This window comes from Homo sapiens, chromosome 7 (assembly GCF_000001405.40).
Source record: "Homo sapiens chromosome 7, GRCh38.p14 Primary Assembly".
Taxonomy (NCBI): domain Eukaryota; kingdom Metazoa; phylum Chordata; class Mammalia; order Primates; family Hominidae; genus Homo; species Homo sapiens.
Genome location: NC_000007.14, coordinates 111,361,359 through 111,388,691, shown reverse-complemented (window position 1 = coordinate 111,388,691; position 27,333 = coordinate 111,361,359). Strand labels below are relative to the sequence as shown.

Here is a 27,333-nt window from a genome sequence, read left to right as displayed (position 1 = left end):
GCTTCCTCCTCATTTTTCTCTTGCCACTGCCATGTAAGAAGTACTTTTCGCTTCCTGCCATGATACTGAGGCCTCCTCAGCCATGTGGAACTGTAAGTCCAATTAAACCTCTGTTTGTTCCCAGTTTTGGGTATGTCTTTATCAGCAGCATGAAAACGGACTAATACATATGTACATTACATGTATATATGTACGTACATATATACATATACATCTCCATCTATCTATCTATTGATCAGTGATTATCTAAAAATATATGTTCCCACTGATCTCCTCGATTCCAAACGACAGGGTTTATTCTTCCTTCCCCTTTTTGTACTTGTAGGTTCCTTCTCCAACATTAGAAAACCTGGCTCCCATTATCCTCAGTATATTTATTTGTTTGCCCAATTTCCCCTTTTTATACTTAATTTTACAGCTGTATGGGTCATCTCCTTGACCTCAACCCACTATCCCCAGCCAACTGGTTGAATATTTGGTCCCGGTCTTGCTGTCTGTGCCAGCTAATTTCTCAGTCCTAACCAAGGGTAACTGGCCCAGATACTTCTTGTTTCCTAGCACTTTTATTATTTTCTTTTAGATATAAAGGGCTGTGTGGACTCTAAAAGTGATTTGGCTGAGCAGGTAGCATTTGGTATGGGTTATATCATAAAACAAATTTCTATTAAAAATGGGGTTATTTAGTATTTTAGTTTTTTTTTTTTTTTTTTTTTTTTAAAGACAGAGTCTTGCTCTGTCTCCAGGCTGGAGTGCAGTGGTGTGATGTTGGCTCACTGCAACCTCTGCCTCCTGGTTTCAGGTGATTCCCCTGCCTCAACCTCCTGAGTAGTTGGAACTGCAGGCACGCGCCACCATGCCTGGCTAATTTTTTGTATTTTAGTAGAGATGAGGTTTCATCATGTTGGCCAGGGTGATCTTGATCTCCTGACCTCGTTGTCTGCCCACCTTGGCCTCCCAAAGTGTTGGAATTATAGGTGTGAGCCACTGCGCCTGGCCGTATTTTAGTTTTTGTAAAAAAAATTATTATTCTAGATGTGAATGACAGAACTTTAGTGCTTAGCTTAAGATTCTGTTATGCAAGGCAATAACACTGGCATACATGCTAGCCATTTTTGATGTTAAAGATAGTTTATGAATAAGAAACCATCTATATTGTTAAGGCAGGTTTTTCTTTGGTTTCTTTTGGATTTATTTTTTGGCAGCTTGATAAGCAATAGCTAAAACGAGTTCTTGTTGAACCTTGTTTATTGGTTTGCAATAATGAGAACAGTTATTGAGTCCAATAATTTTGTGCTTTTATTTTCAAGTAACAAAGTGTTCTTATTTTGTGATGATACCACAGAAAGCTGGTTTAAAAGCTAGTTTTAAAGGATCTGTAGCTTGAGAGGTTGTAATTTAGAATGGAGACATGGTGGTCAGAGGAAATGAGCCAAAGTTAAAAGCCTTTTCTGTGCCATTGCATCTGTAACCATCCTCAAAGTACTCTGCACTTTATGTCACAAAAAAGCCTCAAATCCTGTGGGTAAATGTTATCTGCAGGAACCTCATCATTTTTGAAAACAGTACTTTTATCCTTAGAGTGTTTGAACAAGAAATACAAATAATAGTATTTTCTTTTCTTTTTACAGGACAACAGATAGATAGAAGTATTCTTCTGCTATTTTTGAATAAGTGCTATGTGATATAAGAAGCAAAATCAAATTTAAAATTAATGGATGGTGAGATAGAAACTTATGGTATTATCTTGTTTAAATCTCTTTTGCCTCTTTTGTGAAACAGTCATTCTCTTCTTTTTGTGGGGTTATTTTATGCCTAATTTTCTTTTACAAGGTAGAATATAATTGCTTGTCAGCTAATAGTTTATGGCACAGATATTTTTGCCAAACACATTAAAGGTAGATCTTGGTTATACATAACCTTCAAGGAACACAGGGAGCACACATGATATGGACAGAGAAGTTGATGGGCAGTGATTATGATCGCACAGGGAAGGGGAGTGAAGGCTTGTGTTATTCTTTTTCTTTAAATGTATTTACAGTTTATCATGAGTCTTTTATGAGTTTTCATGTCCTTGTCTGCTGTAACTTTACTTGCTTCTTATCCATTCCCTCTCTCTGTCTGCCTTTGTCTCTCACATACATTCATTCACACACACCCAAATACACATACCTTCACACTTGAATTTGAGTAGCTGGCATGCTTAGAAATATTCTCAAATGGGGGTTACATAGGGCCAATGTATATAAATTGATGTACCTTTATGTATATATGTATTTGTATAGTCACACACTCTATTTTCAAATAGAAAACCAGTCATACAAAGTATTTGCCTTATCTTAAACATTCAGTTTATGTTTGTTAAGTGAATGAATGTATGAGTCTAAAAAGAGCAATGATATTAAGGATTGGGGAAAACTGGGCATAGGAAGGATTACTCATGGGGAAGTTATTTATTCAGCAAAGATTGACTTGTCTAGATTATTATATCAGGTTATTTATCAATCATGTGGAGCAGGCTGGGAGTGGTGGTTTATGCCTATTATCCCACTGCTTTGGGAGGCTGTGGTGGGAGGTTTGTCTGAGGCCAGGAGTTCAAGACCAGCCTGGACAACAGAGCGAGACCCTGTTTCTTAAAAAAAAAAAATTAGCTGGGAGTGGTGGCATGTGGTTGTAGTCCTAGCTACTCGGGAGGCTTAAGCCCAGGAGTTGGAGGCTGCACAGTCCAGCCTGGGTGACAGAGTAAGACCCTGCCTCTATTAAAAAAAAAAATTCATGTGGAGCAATTGGTAGGTTGAGTTTATTCCTTCACCCCGCCTTACTGAACCAAATCTTATTTCTGATTAGTAGAGGGTAAGTGGATAATTAATTGAGATGTACACATATTTCATTGGAAAAGATAAATTATGCCTTAGATGAAGACAGTGACCTGGGTATGGGATCAGATATTTGTAATTTTTTTCCTTTTCCATCAGCTTTTCTTATGGCAGCTCATTTTCTGTCTTATGACAGCCAAGTAACCAGTAGAGTAAAATGACGTTTATATGGTAGAAACCACAATGAACCACTCAGGACATCTGCCTTTAAAAACAGCAATAAAAAGATCAAACATTCTCTAGTTACAACTTTAACATTTTACCATTTGGAGTGATACTGCTAGTCCTGTCAATGAAAAGGACCACTTGGCATCTTTTTGGAGTATCCGAATGTGTGGTTGTGGACTCACTTCGGCCTAGGGTAGCGCTATGGGTCTTGTACAGGATTTTCTGAACCACTTTTCTAATGTGCCCAAAATGTAGAGAACAGGATACTGCTTCCCCTGCTGCTTTCCTGAATGTCAGCATCTTTTTCTCTTATAAAGGGCAAATTGCTGTATTGAAAGGAGTGTAAGCAATGCAAATCCAAGATTTGGTTAATAGTTCAGGTTAGGGTACCAACCACTTGACTTTCTTACCCCCTTTTTGCTCAAATGCCACTTGTCAGTGAGGCCTTCTTTGGCTATCTTATTCAAAACTGTACCCTTGCCCCCCCACCTCCACCTTGCCTTATTTTCCCAGTAGTACCATTTGACATATACATTTTATTTATTACACGTCTTCCCTATAAGAAAGAGGTGCATGAGGGCAGGGCTGCTGAAATCCCAGTGCATTGCACAAAATAGGCATTTGTTCATTATTGGTTGATGAATAAGGCCTTACAGAACCCACCTAATTTTTCTAAAAATTCATTTCCTCAACTATAAAATGGAAGTGTTAGGAAGTACTTTGTGTGCTGTAATATACTTTATAAGGTGTTTTGTCATTATTAATCAAGTTAGAAATTCTAAATTTAGTACAATTTATGTATTTCCTAACTTTATCCAGTTAAAAAAATACATAAAATGTAAATATGTAAAAAGTATGTAAAATGCTCTTTTTGAAATGAATGGGGACAACTCCAAAGCTGCCTTTCTGGCCCCAGTTCTGTTTACTGCTACGTGACTCATTTTCACTTGTTTATGAATCATATTTTTTGCTTGCTGCTTAAGAGATTCCTTAGCTAGAGGCCAAATGGAGCAGTGATTGGCTGAAGAGTCAAAAGATTTTTACCTATTATACAAAGGCCTTCAGGATCTCCTTCTTTCTGTCTTCTTTCAATAATAGAGGGGCAGTGCTGATAGAGTGCAGCAAGGCCCAGTTTCTGCCCTACAAAGTGCTTTAGGAGTTTGGGAGAAGTAGGAATGAATTGTGACTTGGAGTGGGGACCAACCTTGACAATGTACTCAAGGCCTGAGATACAAAGCTGAATTCAGCAATCTCTACCTGATTTCCTAGTGGAGATACAATTCCCCCTCCTCCCCCTCTTCTCTTCCTCATCCTCCTCCTCCCTCCTCCTTCTCCTTTTCCCTCCTCCTCCTTTCTCCTCTCTCCTTTCTCCTTTCTCCTCTCTCCTTTCTCCTTTCTCCTCTCTCCTTTCTCCTCTCTCCTTTCTCCTCTCTCCTCTCTCTTCTCTCCTTTCTCCTTTCTCCTTCTCCTTCTCCTCCTTTCTCCTCCTTCTTCTTCATCATTTAGAGATGGGGGCTCTCACTCTGCCACGCGGGCTGGAGTGCACTGGTATAGTTATGGCTCATTACAACCTCAAACTCCTGATCTCAAATGTTTCCCCCACCTCAGTGTCCTGTGTAGCTGGGGTTGAAGATGTGAGCCACCTCACCTGGCTGGGAGATACAATTAAATAACTAATTATAACCAAGTGCTTAATTGAGATATAAATAAGACACAAGAGCATAGATGAGGCAGTGATACTGAAATGTAACTGGACAGGTCAGAGAAAACTTCCTTGATAAGGTGACATATAAACTGAATATTCATGGGCTTGAACATATAAAAGTGGAAGGAGGGGGATTTCAGGAGGGGCAGAGTGAGAAAAAGAAAAATGAAAAAGAAAGAGGCAGAAAAACTTAGTGCACATTTTAGTTTGTCACTAGGGTTTTTGGAGGTTCAAGGTGAGATTTTGATTATTGAATCCTCCACCTACCCCTCCTGCCTTCTGGGATTCTGGACTGATGCATTATTTATAAAAATGTATAGAAGCCAACAGGGAAATAAAGTACTGTTTAAAAGGTGGACAAAGGCTGGATAGCCCTCAATGTCTGACTTTTTCAATGAGGAGTGTTGAACCATGAGTCTTGGTTTTGTAGGCGTAGCTCGGTTTTCTGGTCCAGTGAAGCCCAATACTCTTCACTCATTCAATTGTAGGTGGAGACACTGAAGCAGAGTAGAGATGAGGATGGGCAGGCCAAGAGATTCTTTTTAATCACACAAAATAATTATGACCACTCAGCCTGGAGGACCAGATCCTGCCTAGGCATGCCTACCACTCCCAGAAACAGGCAGAGTAGAAGTCCGGGGAATCTGGGCTCATTTCTTTAAAGCACAATAACTTCATCTAAAAGGTTTAAACTGTGGCAAAGTATGATAACTATGACTCTTGCCTTGGGAAGGAACTAATTAGGGTTATATAGACAGGAGAGAAACCCTCTTTATTCTCTTCAGTCTCTCTACTTCCATGTGCATAGATAGAAACCGTAGAGAGATATGTGGGTTCCCTGTCCCCAATCACTCTAGTCTACATTTTCTTCCTCCATGACTAATGGCAATCATTTCTCACAGGTTTATTTTTTGTGTAGTAGAGTATAGATGACTGGCCACAGAGTAGATTAAAGATGACTCTCCCCTACCTGGATGAATCTGTGTCCTTGGCTTTCGAATATTTGCTATAAATATTAAATCCTTGGAAGTATGGAACCACATTTGCAGCTACTGTTAGCTAAAGGTGCCCGGTAATTACTGTATAACCTGAGTAATATTTTAATACAGAACCTAGAGTTCTTACCTGCTTCTGAATTTATCTTTGCCTCTTGAGCCACCTTCACTTTCATTTCTGGACGAAGAGGTGTTCTTTCTTCTGTTCAGGTTTGCCTGTCCATCTGTGTTCTAGGTCTTCTCTCCCAGTTCCTCAGGCTCTTGCTCCATTAGTTATTCCATTTCTTGCCCCTTTAATCAGCTTTTCTGTACTGATTGCTTTTCTGAGCTTTTGAACATGCTCAGGTCTCTCTCATGTCCAAAATAAAAAATGACAATACCCCAAACCATCCCTTGATTCTGTGCTCACTACTTTATTATTTTTTTATTATAGTTAAGATTTTAGAAACAGTTGTTTATACTTGGTCTTTCTTGCCTCTCCTTTGCTCTTTCGCCTTTTGGAGTCTTTGGCAGTCCTGCTTGTTCTTACCATTGGGATCGCCTTCATGAAGGTCATCAGTGATCTCTGACTTGCCAAATACTTTTTGATTTTTTTTCTGGCATTGTGTATACTTTTCAATGCTTCTCTGAAATTATGTACTTTTCTTTTGTATTTGATTCTATTGAATGTTACTTCCTTAAAAAGTTCTTCTGTTTTGGTTTTTGTGATTCTACTCTTTATGAATTTTTCTTGTTCATACATGGCTATTTGTTAGTGAACTTGCTGTCTGTCCTCTCTCTCCTTTTCAGAATTTTTGTGTCACTGTTCTGTCTTGGACCCTTGACCTTATCACTCTACAACCTCTCCTGGAGCAAACCCTTTTATGGGTCTGCTGCTATTTCCATATTCTCTAGCTTCAGCGTAGGCATTTCTGTTACACTTCAGATCATGACATCCAATTGCTTCCCAGACATTTCCACTTAAATAACCTACACACACTTCATACTTGATACATTTGATGATAATAAAAGTGTTCCTCTTTCCTGTTTGCTATTTCAATGGGTGATAACAGCCTTTCCTCAGTTTCTCAAACCAGAGAGTTGGTAAGCATTTCCGACTTCCATTTAGCTCATTATAGTATAACCATCATGGTACCTGCATATCCTAGGCATGCAATAATGATGTGTTTGAATGAATGAATGAATGAACAAATGCCTTCTCTCTGACTCCTTATACTCAGTCAGTCACCAAGTCCTGCATCTTTTCTTTCTTCTTTTGAGCTTTTCTCTTTTGTTCTTCTCCATTCTTAATATTCTGGCTGAGACTGTCCTCTCTCACCTTGGCGATTGCAATAGTCTACCTTGTTCTCATCATTGTTAGTGTATTTTCCTCCTCACAGTTTTTCATCTATACAAGTACTGTCCAATTGAGATGTATTATACAAGGCATATATACAGTTTTACCTATTCTAGTGGCTACATTTAAAAATAAAAATAAACAGGTGGTATTGATTATAATAATATAGTTTATTTGATCTAGTTTATCCAGAATATTCTTTCAACTTGTGGTCATGGTCACATTTCAAATGCTCAGTAGACACGTGGCTAGGGAATACCATATTCACTAAAGTAGCTCTACGCTGCTAGCAGAGTGAAAATCTCATCCAGTCTCTGCTTACATTGCTCCTCTGTTTTCACTTTTTCAGTGACTCCCATGTCTTACAGGTCAAAAAAATCTCAGCTTAGTAGTATCTGCTGTAAGGTGTGATGTGGTCTGGCCCTTCTCTACTTCCCTCTCTGACCTTTGTACTTTGCACCCTACTAATACCAAACTAATGTACTTCCTAGAAATATGCTGGGTTAATCAGCTACAACAGTTCGCGTGGTGTTTCAGCACTTGTTGATGGAAATGCAGGCATCTGGGTGAAAACATGGTTTTCTTTATTCTCAGATCTATTTATTTTTAAATACGGTGCTCAGATTTGCACTCTCATTCTGGAAACATGGAAAATAGATAGTAGTGAGAATAACCTGATATTTTTCACTTAGAATCAACTCAGGTACCTTAGAGAAACAGATTCTGTTACTTTTTTGTGGAGAATACTGAGGTTAAATTGTATTCTAAGGTTAGCAGTTTATGCCTGGTATTTCTTTTTACAATGTCTGATGATACAATATGATATCAGAGTATATCAGAGACAAGCCAGATGGCCAATTTTAGACTAGTTTTAGTGCTAACTAAAGGGCTAATTTTTCTCTCTCAAACTCAACTGTGACTATTTATTGTGAAAATATTCAATAGCTGGACAAGCTAAATTGGTCCAGGAAAACCTAATTGGGTATTTCCATCTTGCATACCTCTGCTGCTTATAATTAAGGAACCCTAGGGAATAGCTGTTAGTAAAAATATTGTTACATATCTGCTGCTTTTTCAATAGCTGCATGTTAATTCAAGAAGTTAAATTTCAAGGGACTAAAATTTTAAAGAAAAAAAATCTGAACCCTAGCACTAGTCCTTTCATGTCCATTTAGGTGAATAGTTTTGCTTCTATTGCATTCTGAGTGTTGTTATCAGTCTGTGTGTGGAGGATCACACGATTAGCTTGCTCATATTTTGACAAACGATCATTATCTGGCTGAAGCATGTTGTAGGAGTCAATGAATATATAATCTATTTCAGATTCCTTAAAGATATTAAATATCTAACTTTGAATATAGAGGGTATTTCTTAATAAATGTTTAAAAACTCTCATGGCGGGGCCTTCATATGACAACTAATAAATATACCATTGGATGGTGTTAACAAAAAGACGTAATACTGTGAAGTGCCTTCAAATTTTTTAGATATTATAATAAAATATTATTTTTTCCTGACAAATAAATTAGCAGTGATTTAATCATTTTAAGTTAATTAATGTTGCAGAATATGCACAGAAGAGTTTTCGATGGAGCTATTTTACTATTTTCTAGTAACTTACTTTTGATTTTTATTTAGATAGTTCATAATACTGAATTGGCTATGGAGAACAGTTGCCACTTGCAATGTATACATGGATTTTATTTTTACCTAAACTTACGTGGATGTATGAAATCTGTTATTAATGTTAGAAAATAAAGTTGTTCATGAATGTTATTTCGTCTAAAAATTGCAGACTCGAACTGACTTGCTAGTTTTCTTAATCTTAAAATGAGTTCTTATTTACTTGATGAGCAAATAGTAGGCAGTTACATGTTAGACAATTTTGTTATTTAGAGTTTGATAATATGTGGCATTTTATACTTCTGGAATTTTCGGATCTTGAAACTTAAGCCTTCAGATATGTATCATTATTAATAATATATTATTATTTGAGAAAATGGTGTTTCTATTTGACTTTCAGCCTGGTTCCTTTCCACTATATTCACTTGATAAGGGAATTATGATTATTCTTTGGCTCAGTGAAATATCAATAGTGCTTTTCTGAGGTGCAGCAATCTAATGTGAGATTGTTTTAAGGTGCCATATTATGAAATTTCATTTCACCATGTAAACATCTTGACATATTTTGCAGTTTTTAAAATGGCTTTTGATGAAATGTCTGTAACAACTATTATCTTGCATAATACATATATAATTTATGTACTCTCATTGGGTACGTTCCTTGACTGGAATATAAATTTTCATTTACATATCAGTTTAAGTTTGAATTATGTTGTAGGAGAGAGGAAGTGATACTGTACATGATGTTTCTTATCTTTAATAGGACTTTTTTTTTTTTTTTTTTTACCATAAGGGTTACTTGAAGTTTTCAATGATATTTTATTGGCAATTCTGGTCTTCTCTTACAGTGTACAAATGTCACGTATTGTGTTCTTCAGTTGATAAACAGATTGTATTCTACTACTGGATTAGCCTTTCAGTAAATGTGTTTCAAAATGGTCTCATTAGCCTTTTAATAAATATTATAATTAAATATGCATAAATATGGGAAGGTCTACTGTGTAACAACATGGTTATTATATGTTTCAAATTATCTTGTATTCTTATGGAATTGTATACCTGTTTCTCATGCAGAATAACTACACCCTTAAGAGAGTATACTAACCTGTTTTTATGTTTGTAAAGACTGCAAGTCAGCTAGGTGGCTTGAATTAATCTGAATTCACCTTCATGATAGAGCTGAAGAAATTGATACTGCAACTTATCATGTAACAAGAAGATCTCAAGTTTAATAAGTCTTTGAGCTGATTCAGACAATGGATTTGTTGCTAACAGCTTTTTTGTTAATACTGATGTGAGAATGCAATTGGATATTATAAACACTCTTCAGTTCAACTGTTTAGTCATTAAAATAATTTTGATATAACAGATATTGATTAAGAAAGGGATTTTAGAGATAGAAAGACTTGACTTCAGTTCTCTGATTTGCCAGTTACAACTACAGCGGTGCCCTTGGGTGATTATAACAATACCTGCTTCATAGAATTGCTTTGAAAAATAATTTAGATAATAAGATTTAGTAAGTACTAATAAATGTGAAGTATTATTATAAAAGTCATGAACATTTTTGTCTTAAATATATTTAAATTTGCTGGAAGTTTTATCAATTTTTATATTTGTGACAATTATAAAATGTTGACTAACTGGATTATAAGTATGCTAAGCTATAAACTTTTTGGGTGGTCCTTTGAGTGCCAATACAATCCACATATCAGAAAACATTATACAGTTGACATTTAATAAAATTGAATTGAATTTTCATGGCTTCAACTGGTATAAGATGATTATCATGCAATTTTGCTTACATCCTGACATATAATTGTTTTATAATTTTTCTATATTACCTGCCAAACTACATTGTAAACAAAAATTGATTAGAGATTATATTTCAGTTTTTTTTATATTATCTAAAGTTGTGTTAAAAAACACGATCTTCAGCTACCAAGTCTATTCCATAAATATTTCTTGGATTTTAACATGATTTTTTTTAATGGATTCTCCGTATTCCCCTTGATTTTAAAAGAAAAATGAATAAGTAAAACTAAGTTAAGTTAGAATTATTAATGGAAGGATGCTAAAATCAATTATGGTACATTAATACTATGTATAGTATTATGATAAGATATATATGTGGATGTGTAGTTGTATATGCATAGAAAATACTGTGGTAGGATTAACAGCAAATTGTTCATAGCATTACTTCGGGTGAAGAGATTAAAACAGTTTAGAGTATATATCAAATGGAGTTTTGTAATTGCAAGCAGCCTAAACTCAGAGATTATCTAAGCAAAATAAGAAGAGGATTTATTAGATAAAATGTGGTTATATCACAGAATCAAAAGCCAAGCCGAATAAATAGGCCCCTGGAAGCATGGAACTATAAACAGCTGAGACAGTTCATTGGCAGAAATTCCTGTGCAGTTTCTGTGGCAGGAGTGGGATTTGGGGATTTCATGTGACTGACAGCCGTACTAGAATGACATAGAATGGAGGGAAAAGCAGTTTACCACAGGAACAGGTGCTGGGCATGAAGAGTATCATAGAGCTGTATTATAGAGGGATACTATACTATAGAGCTGTACTATAGAGGGATGCTATACTACAGAGCTGTAGTATAGAGGGATACTATACTATAGAGCTGTACTATAGAAGGATACTATACTATAGAGCTGTACTATAGAGGGATGTTTTCCTTCTTTATATATATGAACGCATACACACATACACATACACACATATATATATTTACATATGAAATGGAAAGGAAAGAGTAACATTATAGAAGAATGACTAAGAAAAACCTATACAACTTGGTGATAAGGAGCTACTTCTAGGGGGAAAATCCAATATTAGAAGAAAATAACTATATATACTATATTTTTTATTGTGCAAATATATATTACATATATTTATTTTAAAAACACCTTTACTGAAATTTAATTCATATACCATATGATTCACCCATTTGAAGTATACAATTCAATGACTTCTAGTATATTCACAGAGTTGTACATTCATCAGAATAATTTTAGAACATTTGTATTACCCTCAAAGAAAACCCCACATCCCTTAGCTGTCACCACCATGCCACCTCCATTCACTCTGTCCCTAGCAACCACTAATATGCTTTATGTCTCTATAGATTTTCCTATTCTGAACATTTCATATAAATGGAATTACATGATATGTGGTTCTTTGTGACCGACTTCTTTCACTTAGCATGATGTCTTCAAGGTTCATCATGTTGTATGTATCACTACTTTTTATTCCCTTTTATGTCTTAATAATATTCACTGTATGGATAGACCCCATTTTATGTGTCCAGTCATCAGTTGATGAACATTTAGATTGTTTCCACCTTTTAGCTATTATGAATAATGCTTTTATGAACATTTGTTTGCAAATTTTTGAATAACTGTTTTCAATTCTCATATATATATAGCTAGGAGTAGAATTGATGGATTATATGGTAACTCTGTGTTTAAGCATTTGAGGAAATGCCAAACTGTTTTCGGAAGCTGCTGCTCCATTTCACATTCTCACCAGCAGTGTATGGGGTTCACTTCCTCCGTATCTTCATCAACACTGTTATTATCTATTTCTTTGATTGTAGCCATCCTAGTAGATGTGAGGTAGTATCTCGTGGTTTTGATTTGCATTTCCCTGATAACTAATGATGTGGAACATCTTTTTATGTGTTTATTGGCCACATATGTATTTTAAGTTAATGAGATTATGGGGCTTTTTTACTTTTGGAATTTATTTTTTTTACCAAAAAACTTGTCAGATTTGTTTAGATATTTGTACCATTACTCTTCATTGTTTATAATTTTGAGTGTGCGTTATGTAACACAGTGTTACTCTACATAATTTCTCTGTTAGCTAACTGTTGTAAGAAATTGGGACTGAGAGAAGGTAAGTTATTTGTTCAAGGTCACAGAGCTAGTAAATTGTGTAGGATTTGAATCCAGGTCATTTTAAATCCAGAGCCTGAGTTCTTTAAAAATGGTACTATAACATGTCTCAAGTAATATATGTTTTTAGGTTTCTTGTATTACTATTGTTATTGTTTTTGCTCTGGTTGTTACTTTATTTTACCCAACTACATAATCTCATAGAGACAAAGACTTAAATTTCACATGACCCTCAGTTCAAAAATGTCACTTTTGGCCGGGCCTGGTGGCTCATGCCTGTAAGCCTAGCACTTTGGGAGGCCAAGGCAGATGAATCACTTGAGGTGAAGAGTTCAAGATGAGCCTGGCCAACATGGTGAATCCCCATCTCTACTAGAAATATAAAACTAGTCAGGCATGGTGGCGCACACCTGTAATCCTAGCTACTCGGGAGGCTGAGGCAGGAGAATTGCTTGACCCGGGAAGTGGAGGTTGCAGTGAGCTGAGTTGGCACCACTGCACTCCATCCTGGGTGAAAGAGCAAGACTCCATCTTGAAAAAAAAAAGTCGCTTTTACCAAACTCAGGAAATCTGTTCACAGGTTTGCTAAGGTACAGTTGCTTAGCCAGGATTACATGTTGTTTTCTACCTACATGAGAACTGTGTTTGTTGAAAATGCACATTTCCAGGCTTCACTCAGATATTATGAACGAGCCAGTTGAGTACCAGACCTTGACATCATAATTTAAGCAAGTGGATTGGATTAAAAACCACTTTTTTTTTTGGTGGCAGATATTTTACTGTCTCATAAGACTACTATTATTATTACTTTAGATGGCTTTTCATCTGTTTCCTGGTAGTTTTTGTCTTTTGACCTGCCTCTACTCTTTGTAGCAACACTCAACAAGCCTGTTCCTTTTAATGTTTGGCAAATACGGCATCAGTGTGTGAGTACTTTTAGTCTATAGTTTACATCCTGAGAGTTCTGCTGAGTTAATAATCAGTGAAGACTCTCTTTCTGAGCACCTCCTAAATAGTGGGAGACAACACTAAAGTATAAGACCCCCCGCTATGAAGGAGCTAAAACTGTGGTAGGAACTGTAAATATTTACCAAAAATATTCAAGTCTTCTTGATACATCGTGATATCATATTTGATGCTTAAATTTCACATTTTCTTGTCTCTGAAAACAAAAGTCTAGACTTAGTGACAATAGTTTTTTCCCTGATTTAATGTAACTTTCCCTCAGCAATGTGATAGCTGTAGCTAACATTGAATGCAGCATCCAGTGTCTTCACACAGGCTTAGATAACCTCAACACTTTGTTTTCTCACTTGGGTTGCCAAGCTAGGAGAGAATACTATTAAAGGGTCAGACTTATGTGGTCAGGCCCTATTAGCTTTTGATTTAAGGCCAAAGCCATTTTACTTGTTTGACTCTCAGGGTCTGACTGTCTTTTGGGTTTAACTTTGTAAGAGCTATATGGCTTTTTCCCCTTTATACTGTGAAAAATGCAAGGAGCCTTATGATATGTTGTTCATCAGAGTACTTGTTAGACATAAGGACAATAATAATGTGGGAGAAAGAATGGACTTTGAAAAGCTCACTTTGTGGAATTGTTGAGTCTTGTCATTTTCTTTTTCCTAATTTTGGTTTTTTTCCTCTTGAGAACTAGCTTCTCATCACTAAGTTCTATTAGGTTTTTCTTAGTTGTTCTTCTAGGATGCCAGTCTTTCCATTCATTAACTTTAAGTTACCAGCCTAGTCTAGGACTTTACTAGCTACAGAATGATCAGTACTAGGAAAGATAAAAGGCTCAGTGGTGATTTTATTACATGAATATTGACTTGATTTATGCAAATGCATTGTCAGCAGGTTACCAATTTACATTATTCAGTATGCATTTATAGACACCTGACAATATCAAGCTTTAGCATGTGAGCAATTTTTGGAGACCTGCTTTGTGCTTGGATAGTTCAGAGCAGCTCCCATTATATAATCTGAAGTGACCATGATGAAGGCTTGGCTTTTTTCAGGAACTGAATGAGGTCTTTGCTGCAGAGTAAAATGGGAAGGGTCAGAGCAAACCTACCATTAGAAATTGATGTTTGGCTTTTTTTTTCCTCCACGATTAAAAAAGTAGGGGAAAAAAACCCACCTCAACTTCGATTTGATTCAAAATAGTATTTCCTAAAACATAAGCCATTCTTGTCAAATATGAGTTCCTTAACTTAAAAATGCATTCATTTAAATCCCTGATGTATTTTCTCGTGTTCTTCATTCATGCTTGGGGACAGAGTGAGTGGGATTTATGAGTTACTGTACTCAGCACAGGAGAAATAAATTTGGTATAAAATATGTAGAGTATAATCTTACTATTTTTGTATAATATTAGAATTTATCCTAATCTTACCAACCCATCCTTGAAGGCATTTTCCTTCAGTTCATAATCCTCACTAACCAATTTTTCTCCAATGGGAACTTATAAACATTAGCAAAGCTTATAACTGAAGTTGTCAAGAAAACAGACAAATTGAAATGTCTGCCCCAGAGCAGCTTTACAAGCAGCAGCTCCTGGATCATGAAAGGACCAAGAAAGAGGATCCTAACTGCATGGCCTCTTTTCCACTTCACCTTACTTAGTAGCAGTGAAAAGCAGGTTTCTCTCTTTTATTCAGTGTTTTTTCTCAATTTCAATGTATTTACTGTGTGACATTTGCTGAGTATATTTGCAAACATCTCATCCAGTTTTCAAAACAATTCTGCCCAGTAGATGATACCAACCTTTATTCCTCAGATGCCACACTGTCTTCCAGTATGTTAACCTTTTTGATCATCTCGAATTCTTTTTCCTTTTCATAGAAAACTTATTTTTTTCTTTCCTTTTATATATTTTCAGTTAAATTTAAGAAATACTCATTTAACAACTACCCTGTGGGAGGCATGTGATCTCTTTCTCTCTACAGTTTTTTTTTTTTCACCACTTAATGCTACTTTAAAGTGTTTTGGGGAAAGTTTCTTAATCCTCAATAATGAAAACATTGGAAGATATTGTAGGGGCAAGTCTCTTAATCCTCCGTAATTAAAACTTTGGATAATTTTATAGGTTCCTTCCTCCAGTGGGTAACAGAACAGATTACATCAATGTTTTATGTTCACTTTTACCCTAATTGTTCATCTTCAATGTGTAGACTTTATGGGTATTTGCAAGAACATGATCAATGATCTACAGCACTTGAAATAGAAAAATGAAACTGATGAGGAATTATGACTGCTCATATTATTCTGTCCCTGTTTTGTTTTGCTAGTGCAAAACTAGTGTTTCTTATCATCCTTGCTCATACATTATGTTCATGGCCTTTTGGGTAGACTAGGAGGGAAAGAGATAGATTAAATACCCTTTCTTATCTGCCATCCTGTACCATGCTCATCATTTCCTTTATTTTATGAAACAGAATTTGCTTATGTTAAAAAAAAAAGAACAGAACTCATCAGAAGAAGTGACAAAGTCAAGTGATCATTTGAATGTTTACAGGCAGTCAGCTCCATCTCTCTTCTCTGCCTTCCTTGGTATCTGCTTCCTTGTAAGGTGGCTCATTTTGTGGTTGTGTGATAGTAGCCAGTGGGATCTGGTGGGTGGCAGGTGGAGGGTGAAGGAATATTTATCATGTGCCCACTGACAGAAGGAAGGAGAACAAGAGATACGTATTCTTTTCTTTCATGTGGCTCCAGTATTTTATAGAAGTATTCAGCTTAAAGGAAGTATTATTCCAAAGTTTTCTTTGTTGTGTTTTGTATTTTTTTCAAATTTTTTATTTTAATTTTTGTGGATATATAGTAAGTGTATATATTTATGGGATACATGAGATGTTTTGATACGGGTATGCAATGTATAATAATCACATCATATAAAATGGGGTATCCATTTCCTCAAGCATTTGTCCTTTGTATTTTATATTTTGTTTGGTCATTGCTTGCAATTTTTATGCATGATGTTGGCACAGAACCTCAGACTGGCAGTTGTGTAATCCTGGCTGTTTCTCCTTGACAAAATTGGAATACTGAAACTTTGGAAAATGTTTGTCAAGGTGATTGTTCTCTTACCCAAAATTGTGGCCATTTGTCAATATATTCTGAGTTTCACAGTTTGAAGAATACCAGTTATGAAACTTAAGACTCACTACTTTGAAGTGCGTGTTTGATGCTGACCAGCTCAGCTTTAAAAACAGTGTTTTCACAATATTTTATTTGTATGTTTGTTTTGTTTTGCTTCAAAGAATAGTTGCCTAAGCTGAGCCTATTTAAATTACATAAACATATGACTACACCCACCTCTTCACACCTTTTAGAATTTTAAATTTTTAGTATATGCTATATATATTTGCCAGTGTTTACTTTACTTTTGTGCCTTTAATGCAATGCCTTAACATTGTGGGAGTGACTTTTAAGTTCAGTCTCTGTACATACAGTCTCTATGGTGATACTGTATCGTTACATGGTGAACAGTCCACAGAAAGTACTTGCATGTCTTTCTTAGAAACTTTCTGGTACTCCTATGCTATAGTCCTCTTTTGATGGATGCCTTAGGCATATGCTAACAAGATTTTGTTTTTTAAAAATCTTGTGACCCCATTATCCAAAGGCAGTCAAAAGCACACAGCCATTAAGGGGGCTGAACAAGAGGACTTTATAGTCCATACTGGAAAGTCACCACAACCCCAGTAAGATCTTCTTTTCTAAGAAAGGGATGCAATTAATAGAAAGATGCAAAAGTATGCAGACATTTTGAGAGAAGGCAGGCTGCAGAATCTAGGATACTGTAGCAGCCATGAAGAAGACATCACCACGAGAGAATGGGAAAAGTCGTACAGAGAAATTAGTAGATTAGTGAAGAAGAGTCCAAGCATGGAAGATTGTAAGACTTGCCACGACTCTCCTCAAGTTGCTATGTATTTTGAGGGCAGCTATATTCTGTTCTTCCTTACCTCATCATGTATCCTTTCTGTAGCCCCTCCATCACCTGGCATACTCTGACTGTGTTTCTGCTTTGGAGATGCCTAAGAATGGATGTCTTGCACTTGACTATTGAATAATAAATCAGTTTTCAAACAGTGATGATATATAACTCAAATAAAAATCTTATATAATAAAATAGCCTAAAATGAGGCTGAAAAACACCAGGTATGGAAGTGGAATGTCTGAAAAAGAAGTGAGATAATAGGTTTTTGTGTTAATATTTTCTCACCATGTGCAGATTTTATTTATCTTTAAATAAAACTTACCTGGTTGTATCATAGTTCTTAAGAAACTATGGAATAATTTAAATGAGAAAAAAAATATGGCTATATACTAAACTGGTTTAGGGGAATCTCGTTAACATGCTGCCTTTTTGTCAAGCCACTAAAGCTCACTGACTCAGTGTGAATTTAGAGAAACGGGATTTTGATGGTAGTGCTACTAATTATGCTTCATCACTATCTAGATTTCTTTCTCTGTGTTAATATTTATGGTTATTTGGAAATTTTCAAGTGTTAACTATTTTTAACGTCTATGTCAACTGCACAGGGAAGTTACGTTTGAACAAGGGTGCAATAAAGTATTTTAAAAGTTTTTCCATAGACGTTTTCTGTGTAATCTCCCTGAAAACAGAGATTTTTGCTTATTTTGTTCAATGATGTATTCCACTTGCTAAGCCCAGTAGTACTTAGTTGGATATTCTAGAGGTATTTGCTAAATGAACACATTCAATATCAATAGGAATTTCTCTAATTTACTATAAGGTGTAGATTCATGTTATTACTGGAGGGGAAATTAAGGATCATAGAGAATGACTCACTGACTCTCTCCATTGAAATTGGGGCTGAGAGATGTTAAATGTTGCCTGAGGGCATGGTTTAAGAGCAGCAGAACTAGGCCTAGATTCTAGGTTTCCAAACAACTTGCTCAGTTTCACATGACAACACAGGTTAGAGTTGGGGTTTAAACTCAGATCTGACCGACAATGAAGTCCTTTGTCTGGATAAGAGTTTTTGATATTTTTTATAAAATTTTAATATGTCACCTTTTCTTTATAGGTTTTCCTCTGTCCCTAAACAGAATTAATTGCTTCCTTAACAGATTATACTAAATACCATTGTTTTCTAGCATGGATCACATTATATTGAGTTGATTTCATGGCGGTGAGTGCTTAAGACCAAGGACTAATTCATCTTCCTCTTTACCATCTAGAATTTAGCATAATGACTGCCATGATAGTTGTTCTGTGTTTTGAATTGCTGTGAGAGGTGGTAACAAATAGTATATCTAAGCCTAGGTCTAGGGAGATAAAACTTTTATGAGAAGAACAAAGTCTCATTGCTTTTTAAATCAAGCATACAGTTAATGCTTGATAAGTGTTAAAATTAAATAATTATTATTCTTGGAGATGTGATTTAATGATGTTAATCTTGATTGGCTTTTGAAAATGGCTTTGTTTTTTAATTTTTAAAGAATTGATAGCAATACTTTTCTATTGATATATTGGTTTCAACATTAAAACTCCTTCTGACCTTATTCTATGATTTCCTACTGGCTTTTTAGACTCTCACCAATCCATGATTAATGCCAGTTTGCAAAATTTTGCCTGACTTTGACACGAGTAATTTTAGCCCTTTCATGAAAATTGAAATCCTAGTACTATTATGAATATATTCCTTAGTAATTATACCAATGAATTTTATACAACTGTAGCAAAACATTTGAAAACATGAAGGGAATTACATTTCAGGAGAATGTTGTGGTATTACAAAATGTAAAAACCTATAGAAGATGCATTGTTTTGCCTGTAGATCTTACAAACGTAATGCTATTTACTGAGAGTAATATTTCAAACCAATTTTTTTCTTACCACTAAATCTTCTAAGATATGTAATGTCATCCCTTTAGGGAAATGGTCTGAAAGTATTTGATTCCTGTTTGTCATTGAAAAACTACTGTAACATTTTATTTCTATGAAAACTATTATTAAAAAAGAATAGGAAATACTGTAACAGTCATTCATGTGCTAATTTCTTAAAAGAAGGTCTGTATTATTGGTATTGTCATTGAAATCTTTGGTCCTTTCTATAAAACATAATATTTTATGAATATAACAAAACTTGAAGTTCAAACCATTTTCCTTTACATATTTAAAAAAAATGAGGACCAGAATGAATTCACACTTCAGATGTTGAAGCCAGCTGATGGAAAGCCTGGACTAGATTTTAGCTCTTTAAATACTTTGGCCAGTACTTTTTCCAGTATACTAAACCATTGGAAAAGAATAAAAGTCACCCAAAGAACTGCTAAATAAGATTATATAATTTTATCCCCTTATGCTTTTATATTTTATTTTACAGATTTGTCGTTGTTGTTACTCTTGTTGCCAGTAAAGGAAACAGATTGACTTAAAAGCAAAAAAGGAGTTTGTTAGACATATCTGGTATCTGGGATGGGAAAAGCTCACAGGATTGAAGGGAGACTAAAGAGTTATGCTTGAAACAGATAAGAATTAGGCAGATCTGGAAGGTCTTGGTAGCAAGAACTTTCAGGAACAACAGCAACAAAAATGTTAGGCTGTGTTGCTGGCGTAAATAAACTCTAACCACGTCTTTGGTATGTGCATTGATTCTGCTTAATACACTAAGTCTTGAGAGAATGTGTCTGACTGACTGAACTTGGGTTATATGTTCACTTCCCTATACCATTGGACTGAGCAGAGAGTTTTCTGGAAGTAGCCTTTAAAAGACATCTTTGGTTTCCATAATGGAGAACATGTATTTGGATTTATGCTTCCACCAGGACTGCATAGTAGAGAAAATTCCCCCAAAAGAAGTAGGGGTGATGTCAGGAAAAGGGCTGGATGCTGGGCTGCCGTAAAATGACATATCCACTTAATACACCTGATAATTCTATTGTGCTGGAAAACTCTTTTTTCCTATATCCAATATAACCAGCATTTTCCATATAAGCATATTCAATATTTATAAAATGTGGATTATCTAGTGTGTATAGATTGAGAATATTTTAAAAGTTTTTCTATCCTTTTGTCTCTGGTGGCATCTTAATTACTTAATAATACCTTTTCCTTTTTTTAATGAGTGGTCAAAAGGAAAAACGAAGAGGAGAATTCAAATCTAAGATAGTCTTTATTTTATGTACAGCGTTTGTTGCTCAGTGAATGGAAATAATAGCTATCATCTATTGCTTATCCACTGGTTTTAAAGTACTATATGGGCATTTTACCTCTGTTTTCAATGTAAGAACTATTTGAGATCAGAATCTCAGGTTCAAGTGCAGTGGAGCATGTTGTTTACAAGTATGAGGTCTAGAATGAGAGTCTCTGGGTTCAAATTTGGACTCACACTAGCTGTGTGGCTTTGGACAGGTTACTTAACCTTTCTATTTCTGTTTTTTCCCCATGCGAAAAGAGGGAAAATAATAGGATATATATTGCTCAAGTAACTGTGAAAATTGAAAGATATAATGAATATCAAGTACTTATTAGCATAGTGCCTGGCATTTAGTAAGCAATAAATGTTAGCTATAATTCTGTGTATTAACTCTTGTTAACTGTACTACATGTTGTGTTAAAAAAAAAAAGCCTTTTTGCTGAGAGAAACAAGTACTACCAAATTGAGGAAGAATGAAGGTAACTAACTAACTGGACCTAAATATAGTATTATGCTTTTAACCCAGTAGGAATAAAAACAAATTAATGATTGTTACTCCGGAAATACCTATTAGCGTATGTCCTTTTGTGCTTGCATTGTGAGGGCTCTTCGTATTCTTATTGTAGTTTTGAAGAAATTATTAAAACAATTTACAGAACATTATTTTTTTCTTTATTCTTCTTTCTGATGTAATATTTCCTAACGTAATATTTTACCCACACAGGAATATATGTAGCATGTAGGTAGTTATAAAGCATAACAATAAGAGGAACAGCCACAAGTGTCACCGAGAACACTGTCAGCATATTCTTCTGTGCGTTCCTCCTCTCTCCTATTCCTCTCTCTCACAGTACCTGAATTTTGTGTTTATCTTTTGCCTGCTTTTTTTCCCCTCAAGCTTTGTATTTGGAAATGATTTTAAACTTACATCAAAGTTGCAAAGATGGTACAAAGAATACCTATATTCTTCTAAAGCTAGGACTTAGCAAGTGTTAACATGCTAGTATTTTGTCCCATTGGTTTTATCATGTGATCTCTCTCCCTGTCTCTCCTCTCCACATATATACGTGTGTGTATACATATATACAGAGACAATGAATGTATTTATGAAATAATATATAGAGAGAATGCATATGTATAGAGAGAATGAATATATGTATATATTCTTCTTTTTTTAGAATCTTCCGAAAGTTTCAGATATTATTGCCTTCCTTTACCTCTAAATATCGCAATGCAATTTCCTAAGATTAAGGCATTTTATTTATATAATCACAGTATAATATCCAGTGTCAGTAAATTTAACATTAATATATTGCCATTACCTAACTTACCATTCATATTTGAATTTTGTCAGTGTACCTAGTAATGTAGTTTATAAACATTTGCTTTTTGTTTCTCTCCAGTACAGGATCCAGCATGGAGCCGTGTATTGTACTTGGTTTTCAGGTCTCTTTAATCTCTTTTAATCTTTAATCTATAACAATTCTTCAGCTTGCTTTTTTGTCTTTTATAACACTGATATATTTGAAGAATACAGCGCCCTTGCTCTTTCTTTTTTTTTTTTTCTTTCTTTTTTTAATAGAATGCTTCTCATTTGAGGTCTGTTTGATGTTTTCTCATGAGTTAAGTTCAGATTTTGCATTCCTAGCCAGGATATTATATAAATGATTTTCCTTTTCCAGGCATCGCATCTGGAAGCTCTCAGTATTTATCTGGTCAAGGTACTGTCTAGTTTCTCTATTTTTTAGTTACTACTTATCCCCTTGCTATTAATGAGCAATCCATGGGGAGATACTCAGAGACCGTGCATGTAAATTTCTCTTCTTGATTTAGCATCTACTAATAATTCTTGCCTGGACCAGGCTTTATTGTCATGGTTGCAAAATGATGATGTACCAGTGCCAGTATTTCCTCTTCATTTACTAGTCAGTCTTCAGCATCCTGCTCTACCAGTCATCCCTTCTTCCTCATTTCCTTCTACTTTTTATTAGAAAATTTTTTTACTGGTGGTTTATAATTCTAAGTCTTTGTGATAGGTTTTAAAAAATCATTTTTGAGCATTTCCTTACTTTTTGGCATAGCAAGGTGCTCCAGGATAATTGTGTACCTTCTCTATCTAGCCCTGAAGCTAGCCATTTCTCCAGAAGCCATGATTCTTTTTGGTGAGGAATGGCATTAAAAACCAAGTTTCATAAAACCAAGTTTCATAAAAATCGGTTTCAACAAGATCTGAGTGCTAGGTTTATTTGCCCTGTAAGTTGATTAAATTGTGGTTTATAAACTAGTTGGTAATTGTTTCTCCTTTTCATCCTTCAGCTTTGGTTATGTATTGAGTTTCTTTCAATTAAGTCAAGATGCCACCTTCAGAACCTATGATGTTTTAATTCTTGTTGCCTTATTTATAGTCCTTTATATATTTATCATAGTATTCTTCATATGAATGTCAGGACTGGCTGCCATGTTGTAGGAAATTCAATAGCTGCTCTAGCGTGGCGTGAAACAAGCAGCTATATAGGATTAGTAATGATGTCTGTCACAGGCAGATGAAATAAAGCATTATGATGTGGCATTATTGAAAAGGATAAGCATGAAAATATTTTCAAGAAATGAAATATTCATGATAGCAGATTGTGTTTCAAAACCTGAACAGTTTCAAATAATCACTTATTTCTCCTACATCTTTCGTGAAGTACAGGAAACTAAGGAGATATAGGATTGTGCAAAGGCCACTGCGGGGTATTAATTTTATACTGAATTCAATTTTAAAAGTTCAGCAGCAGAAAGGTTAAGACCTTCTTATTTAAAGTTTATCTTATTTCTTAAGGTATTTCCTGTTGTTTAGAGTTCTAACCACTGTACTTTTTGTTATAATGGATGATTTTAATAAAATAAGCAATTTTTATTACTTATGTATATAATGTTTATAGATTTTTTTTTTTTTTGACAGAGTCTCACTCTGTCGCCCAGGTTGGAGTGAAGTGGTATGATCTTGGCTCACTGCAACCTCCACCTCCTGGGTTCAAGCGATTCTCCTGCCTCAGCCTCCCTGGTAGCTGGGATTACAGCGCCTGCCACCACACCTGGCTGATTTTTGTATTTTTAATAGAGGTGGGGTTTCACCATGTTGCCCAGGCTGTTCTTGATCTCCTGACCTCAAGTGATTCGCCTGCCTTGGCGTCCCAAAGTGCTGGGATTACAGGAGTGAGTCACCGTGCCTGGCCAATGTTTATAGTTTATATAAAATATTTCACATGAATCCTTTTTTTTTTTTTTTTGAGACCGAGTCTCACTCTGTAGCCCAAGCTGGAGTGCAGTGGCGCAATCTTGACTCACTGCAACCTCTGCCTCCAGGGCTCAGGTGATTCTTGTGTCTCAGCCTGCCGAGTAGCTGGGACTATAGCATCCTCATTTAATCCTACCTACTGAATATGATCCTGTAATTACCATTTTATTAATAAAGGAACTGTGACTAAGACACATTATGTAATTTCACCAAAGTCACAGAGCTGTGCTCTATATACGTATGTATACTCTGCCTAGTTGCAAAAAAAAGAATTGAGGTAGATTTTTTTTAAACCAAAATAAAAGTAAAATGATAACTAGCAGATGACATAAGAACACTAAAAGCATATGAATAGAGAAGTGAATATGCTAATTATAAGAGCTGGCTATTACAATTCTTATGATTAACAATCACGTTTTGTTTTATTCAATTTGACTTTTAATGTTTAGCACCTGCTTTGTGCTGTTAATTTTGTTAGTCCTTAGAAGAGGTTACTGTCTATATAGAGAAACAGAGATATAAATATATTATTTAAATACAAAATGGTAAGTGCTGTGACAGTACAAAGAAAATAACCTTTGCCCATTGTATGTGTATAAAGGGGTAGATGTGTGTGTGTGGGGGGGGATCTTACATGAAAGTTTTCTGGAAAAGAAGATTACTGAATCGAACCTTTAGGCACAGGTGATAATCAGCTAGGCAATAAATAGGGAATGGATATTCTGGTAAGGGACAACATGATGGAAAGGTAATGCATAAAACCACGTGGTGTGTACAGGGAGCTAAAAGAGTAAGTACAGGAGAAAATGGGAGGTGGTTGGGAGATGAGGCTAGAGAGGTCAATAGGGATCAGGTAATCTTGTCCTTATATGCTTGTATTTTAATTTGGAGATACCTTGAAGGTTTTAAAACAGGAGAGTCCTATGATTAGATTTGTTATATAAATTCTACTCTTGCAGCTGTGCAGAGGATGGATTGAAGGGGGGAAAGACCGTAGGCAGACAAATCAGCTAGACTAACACTCCAGAAATCCAGGATAATGAGGAAGAGATACATTTCCAATATATTTTTTACTTCAAGCCTTAACGGTCTTAGGAAATACACTGGCTGGTGCTAGTAAGATTGACAAAAATGGAAACATGAGGGTTACTTTATTATGATCAAAAAGGAGGAAATATTATTTCTACAAGAGGTATGTTTTTTACAAACTACATTTTTAAAAATTATTTCTCTGCTTCTTAGGTCCGTGCTTCTCAAACTTTTGTCTGCATAGGGATCACTTGGAGATTTTGTTAAAATTAGATTCTGATTCAGTATGTTTGGAATGGGGCCCCAAATTCCACATTTCTAACAGGGTTATGATGCTTTATGCTCTTGTCCTGAAGTCCATACTTTGAGTAGCAAGGATTTAGAGCTTATTCAGTATTGTGATTATTGTGGCACCAACAATAATTTTATAATAAATGCAAAGATGTGCCTTATATGATTGTTTTCTGTGAATGGGCTTTGGCTTGCATTCATGTGTGTATGAAAAAAAGAGACAGAGAGAAGGGATTTAAAACACTTGGAGTAGTGAAGGAATAGTGTCCCTTAGATTTGAGGTCTTCAAATTTGTATATGATTGTTTGCCAAGGTTGCACATAGTTGATTTTGAAGGAATCTAAGTCCTCAGTTTCCATAGTCTGTCCTAAAATTGGTCCTCCTGTGAAAGACAGTGAAAGCAGCTTTTCCTTTCCTAACTCCCCTTTCAGAATTGCTCTTGACTCATGTTACAACAAGCAAGGCAGACTTCTCGCCCCTCCCAGATCTTCTCATTGTACACTTCTCCAGGATGGAAAATTCCCTTGCATCATGATAGCAGAGGATTAGCTAGAAGTATTGGTATTGGTATTGGTATTGAAAAAGTGAATGACCTAAACTCAAGGTAAAAAATCCTTTTGCAACTCATATGGTTTCTAATTCTTCGGTTTCAACAGACTTAAGGGAGATGTAATTGAGTTAACAGCTGATAGTTTTCACACATCAAATATTTTTAATAAGCTATGTGATTTTGAAGGATTTAGTAACATTGCCATAACAAAACATCCTTCTCATCTACTTAGTGAACAGTTTCAGTTCTTTCATAAACAGAGAAAATAAAAAATAGAAAAAAAATGTATGTGAAACCTTATACTAGCAATGAGTAACATTCATTCAGAGGCCTATAAACTATTTTAAAAAAGAAAAAAATCTAGCCCTTCTCATTAAGAAATACATTTCCATATATTTCTTAGTTTGAACATTACAGTTTTAGAAAATTAAACACAATTTAAAAGTTCAATTTTAAGGTACATTTTTATTGAAGAGAAGTATGATAGAGGATCAGTTAAAAACTTTTAGAAATAAAAACGATTACATTAGGGTAAAATCCTATGGGGAGATAACTGGAAATGAGTTTAAGCAAAAAAGTGTGTATAAATTTTCTAACTCTTGAATTTTTTTTTGATAAAATGGTTGCTGGTGTATATCAGATTACTGTGGAAGTTAGATTTCTTTGGTACTCTTAAAAGACTGGTATAACAGTTTTATATAAAAATGGCAGTATTTGTAACATGCTAGAAATTATAGCCTTTGCAATCATTTAAATTCATGATGAAAATTTTTACATGTCAACTGAAAATGTATGTTGTGTATTTTTAGAAAATTCTTTTAGGAATATGAGAGAAAAAAAATGAAGACTATTGTTTTAGAGCTTCCTTTTTAGAACCTAACTTTCTTCAACAAACCATTTTGTAAAATGTAGATGAGAAAAAGAATTGAGATAATACCTACTGAAAGGTTATTATCTTGTTAGTAATGAAGAGTAGTTTCCTAGGTTTTGGATGCCTGACATACAGGTTATGATAAAGCTGAACTTCTGTTATCAAAGATGAGTGGCCTGGACAGCTCTCTTAGTTGAACACTTTTTTTATGGAAAGCTACTAGTATCCCTAGGCAGCACCAGCATTTTCCTGAAGGGAAATCTTTGGATCAACATAGTCCCTTGAACAAGTAAATGTTTTGTTGAGTTTCGATAGAACAAGACAGATATAATTTGGCAAGGAAAAATTTTATGTTGGAGTTTATTAATTGCTTGCTTTAAGAATACTCAGTTATGCTGCAACTGCTACTATAGAAAGTATAACTCTGAATAGTGAGTTAGCTAAAATATACTCCCAGATAATTGAATTAGTAAGTGTATATAATTATATATAAATTACTCTCTATAATCCTGCACAATTAAATCTTC

At 35.2% G+C, this 27,333-nt stretch overlaps 1 protein-coding gene and 1 long non-coding RNA gene across 27 annotated transcripts in view; both read left to right on the top strand.

The window, feature by feature from the left end:
* The window catches only part of IMMP2L (inner mitochondrial membrane peptidase subunit 2), an 899,849-nt gene that overhangs the window by 173,801 nt on the left and 698,715 nt on the right, over positions 1-27,333 (top strand). The window lies entirely within an intron of this gene.
* The window catches only part of LOC124900232 (uncharacterized), a 58,562-nt gene that overhangs the window by 4,206 nt on the left and 27,023 nt on the right, over positions 1-27,333 (top strand). Inside the window, exon 2 of the long non-coding RNA XR_007060475.1 lies at positions 1,629-27,333. This exon is cut by the window's right edge and continues 27,023 nt beyond it. This is a non-coding gene — a long non-coding RNA (uncharacterized LOC124900232). The remainder of the gene's footprint in view (positions 1-1,628) is intronic.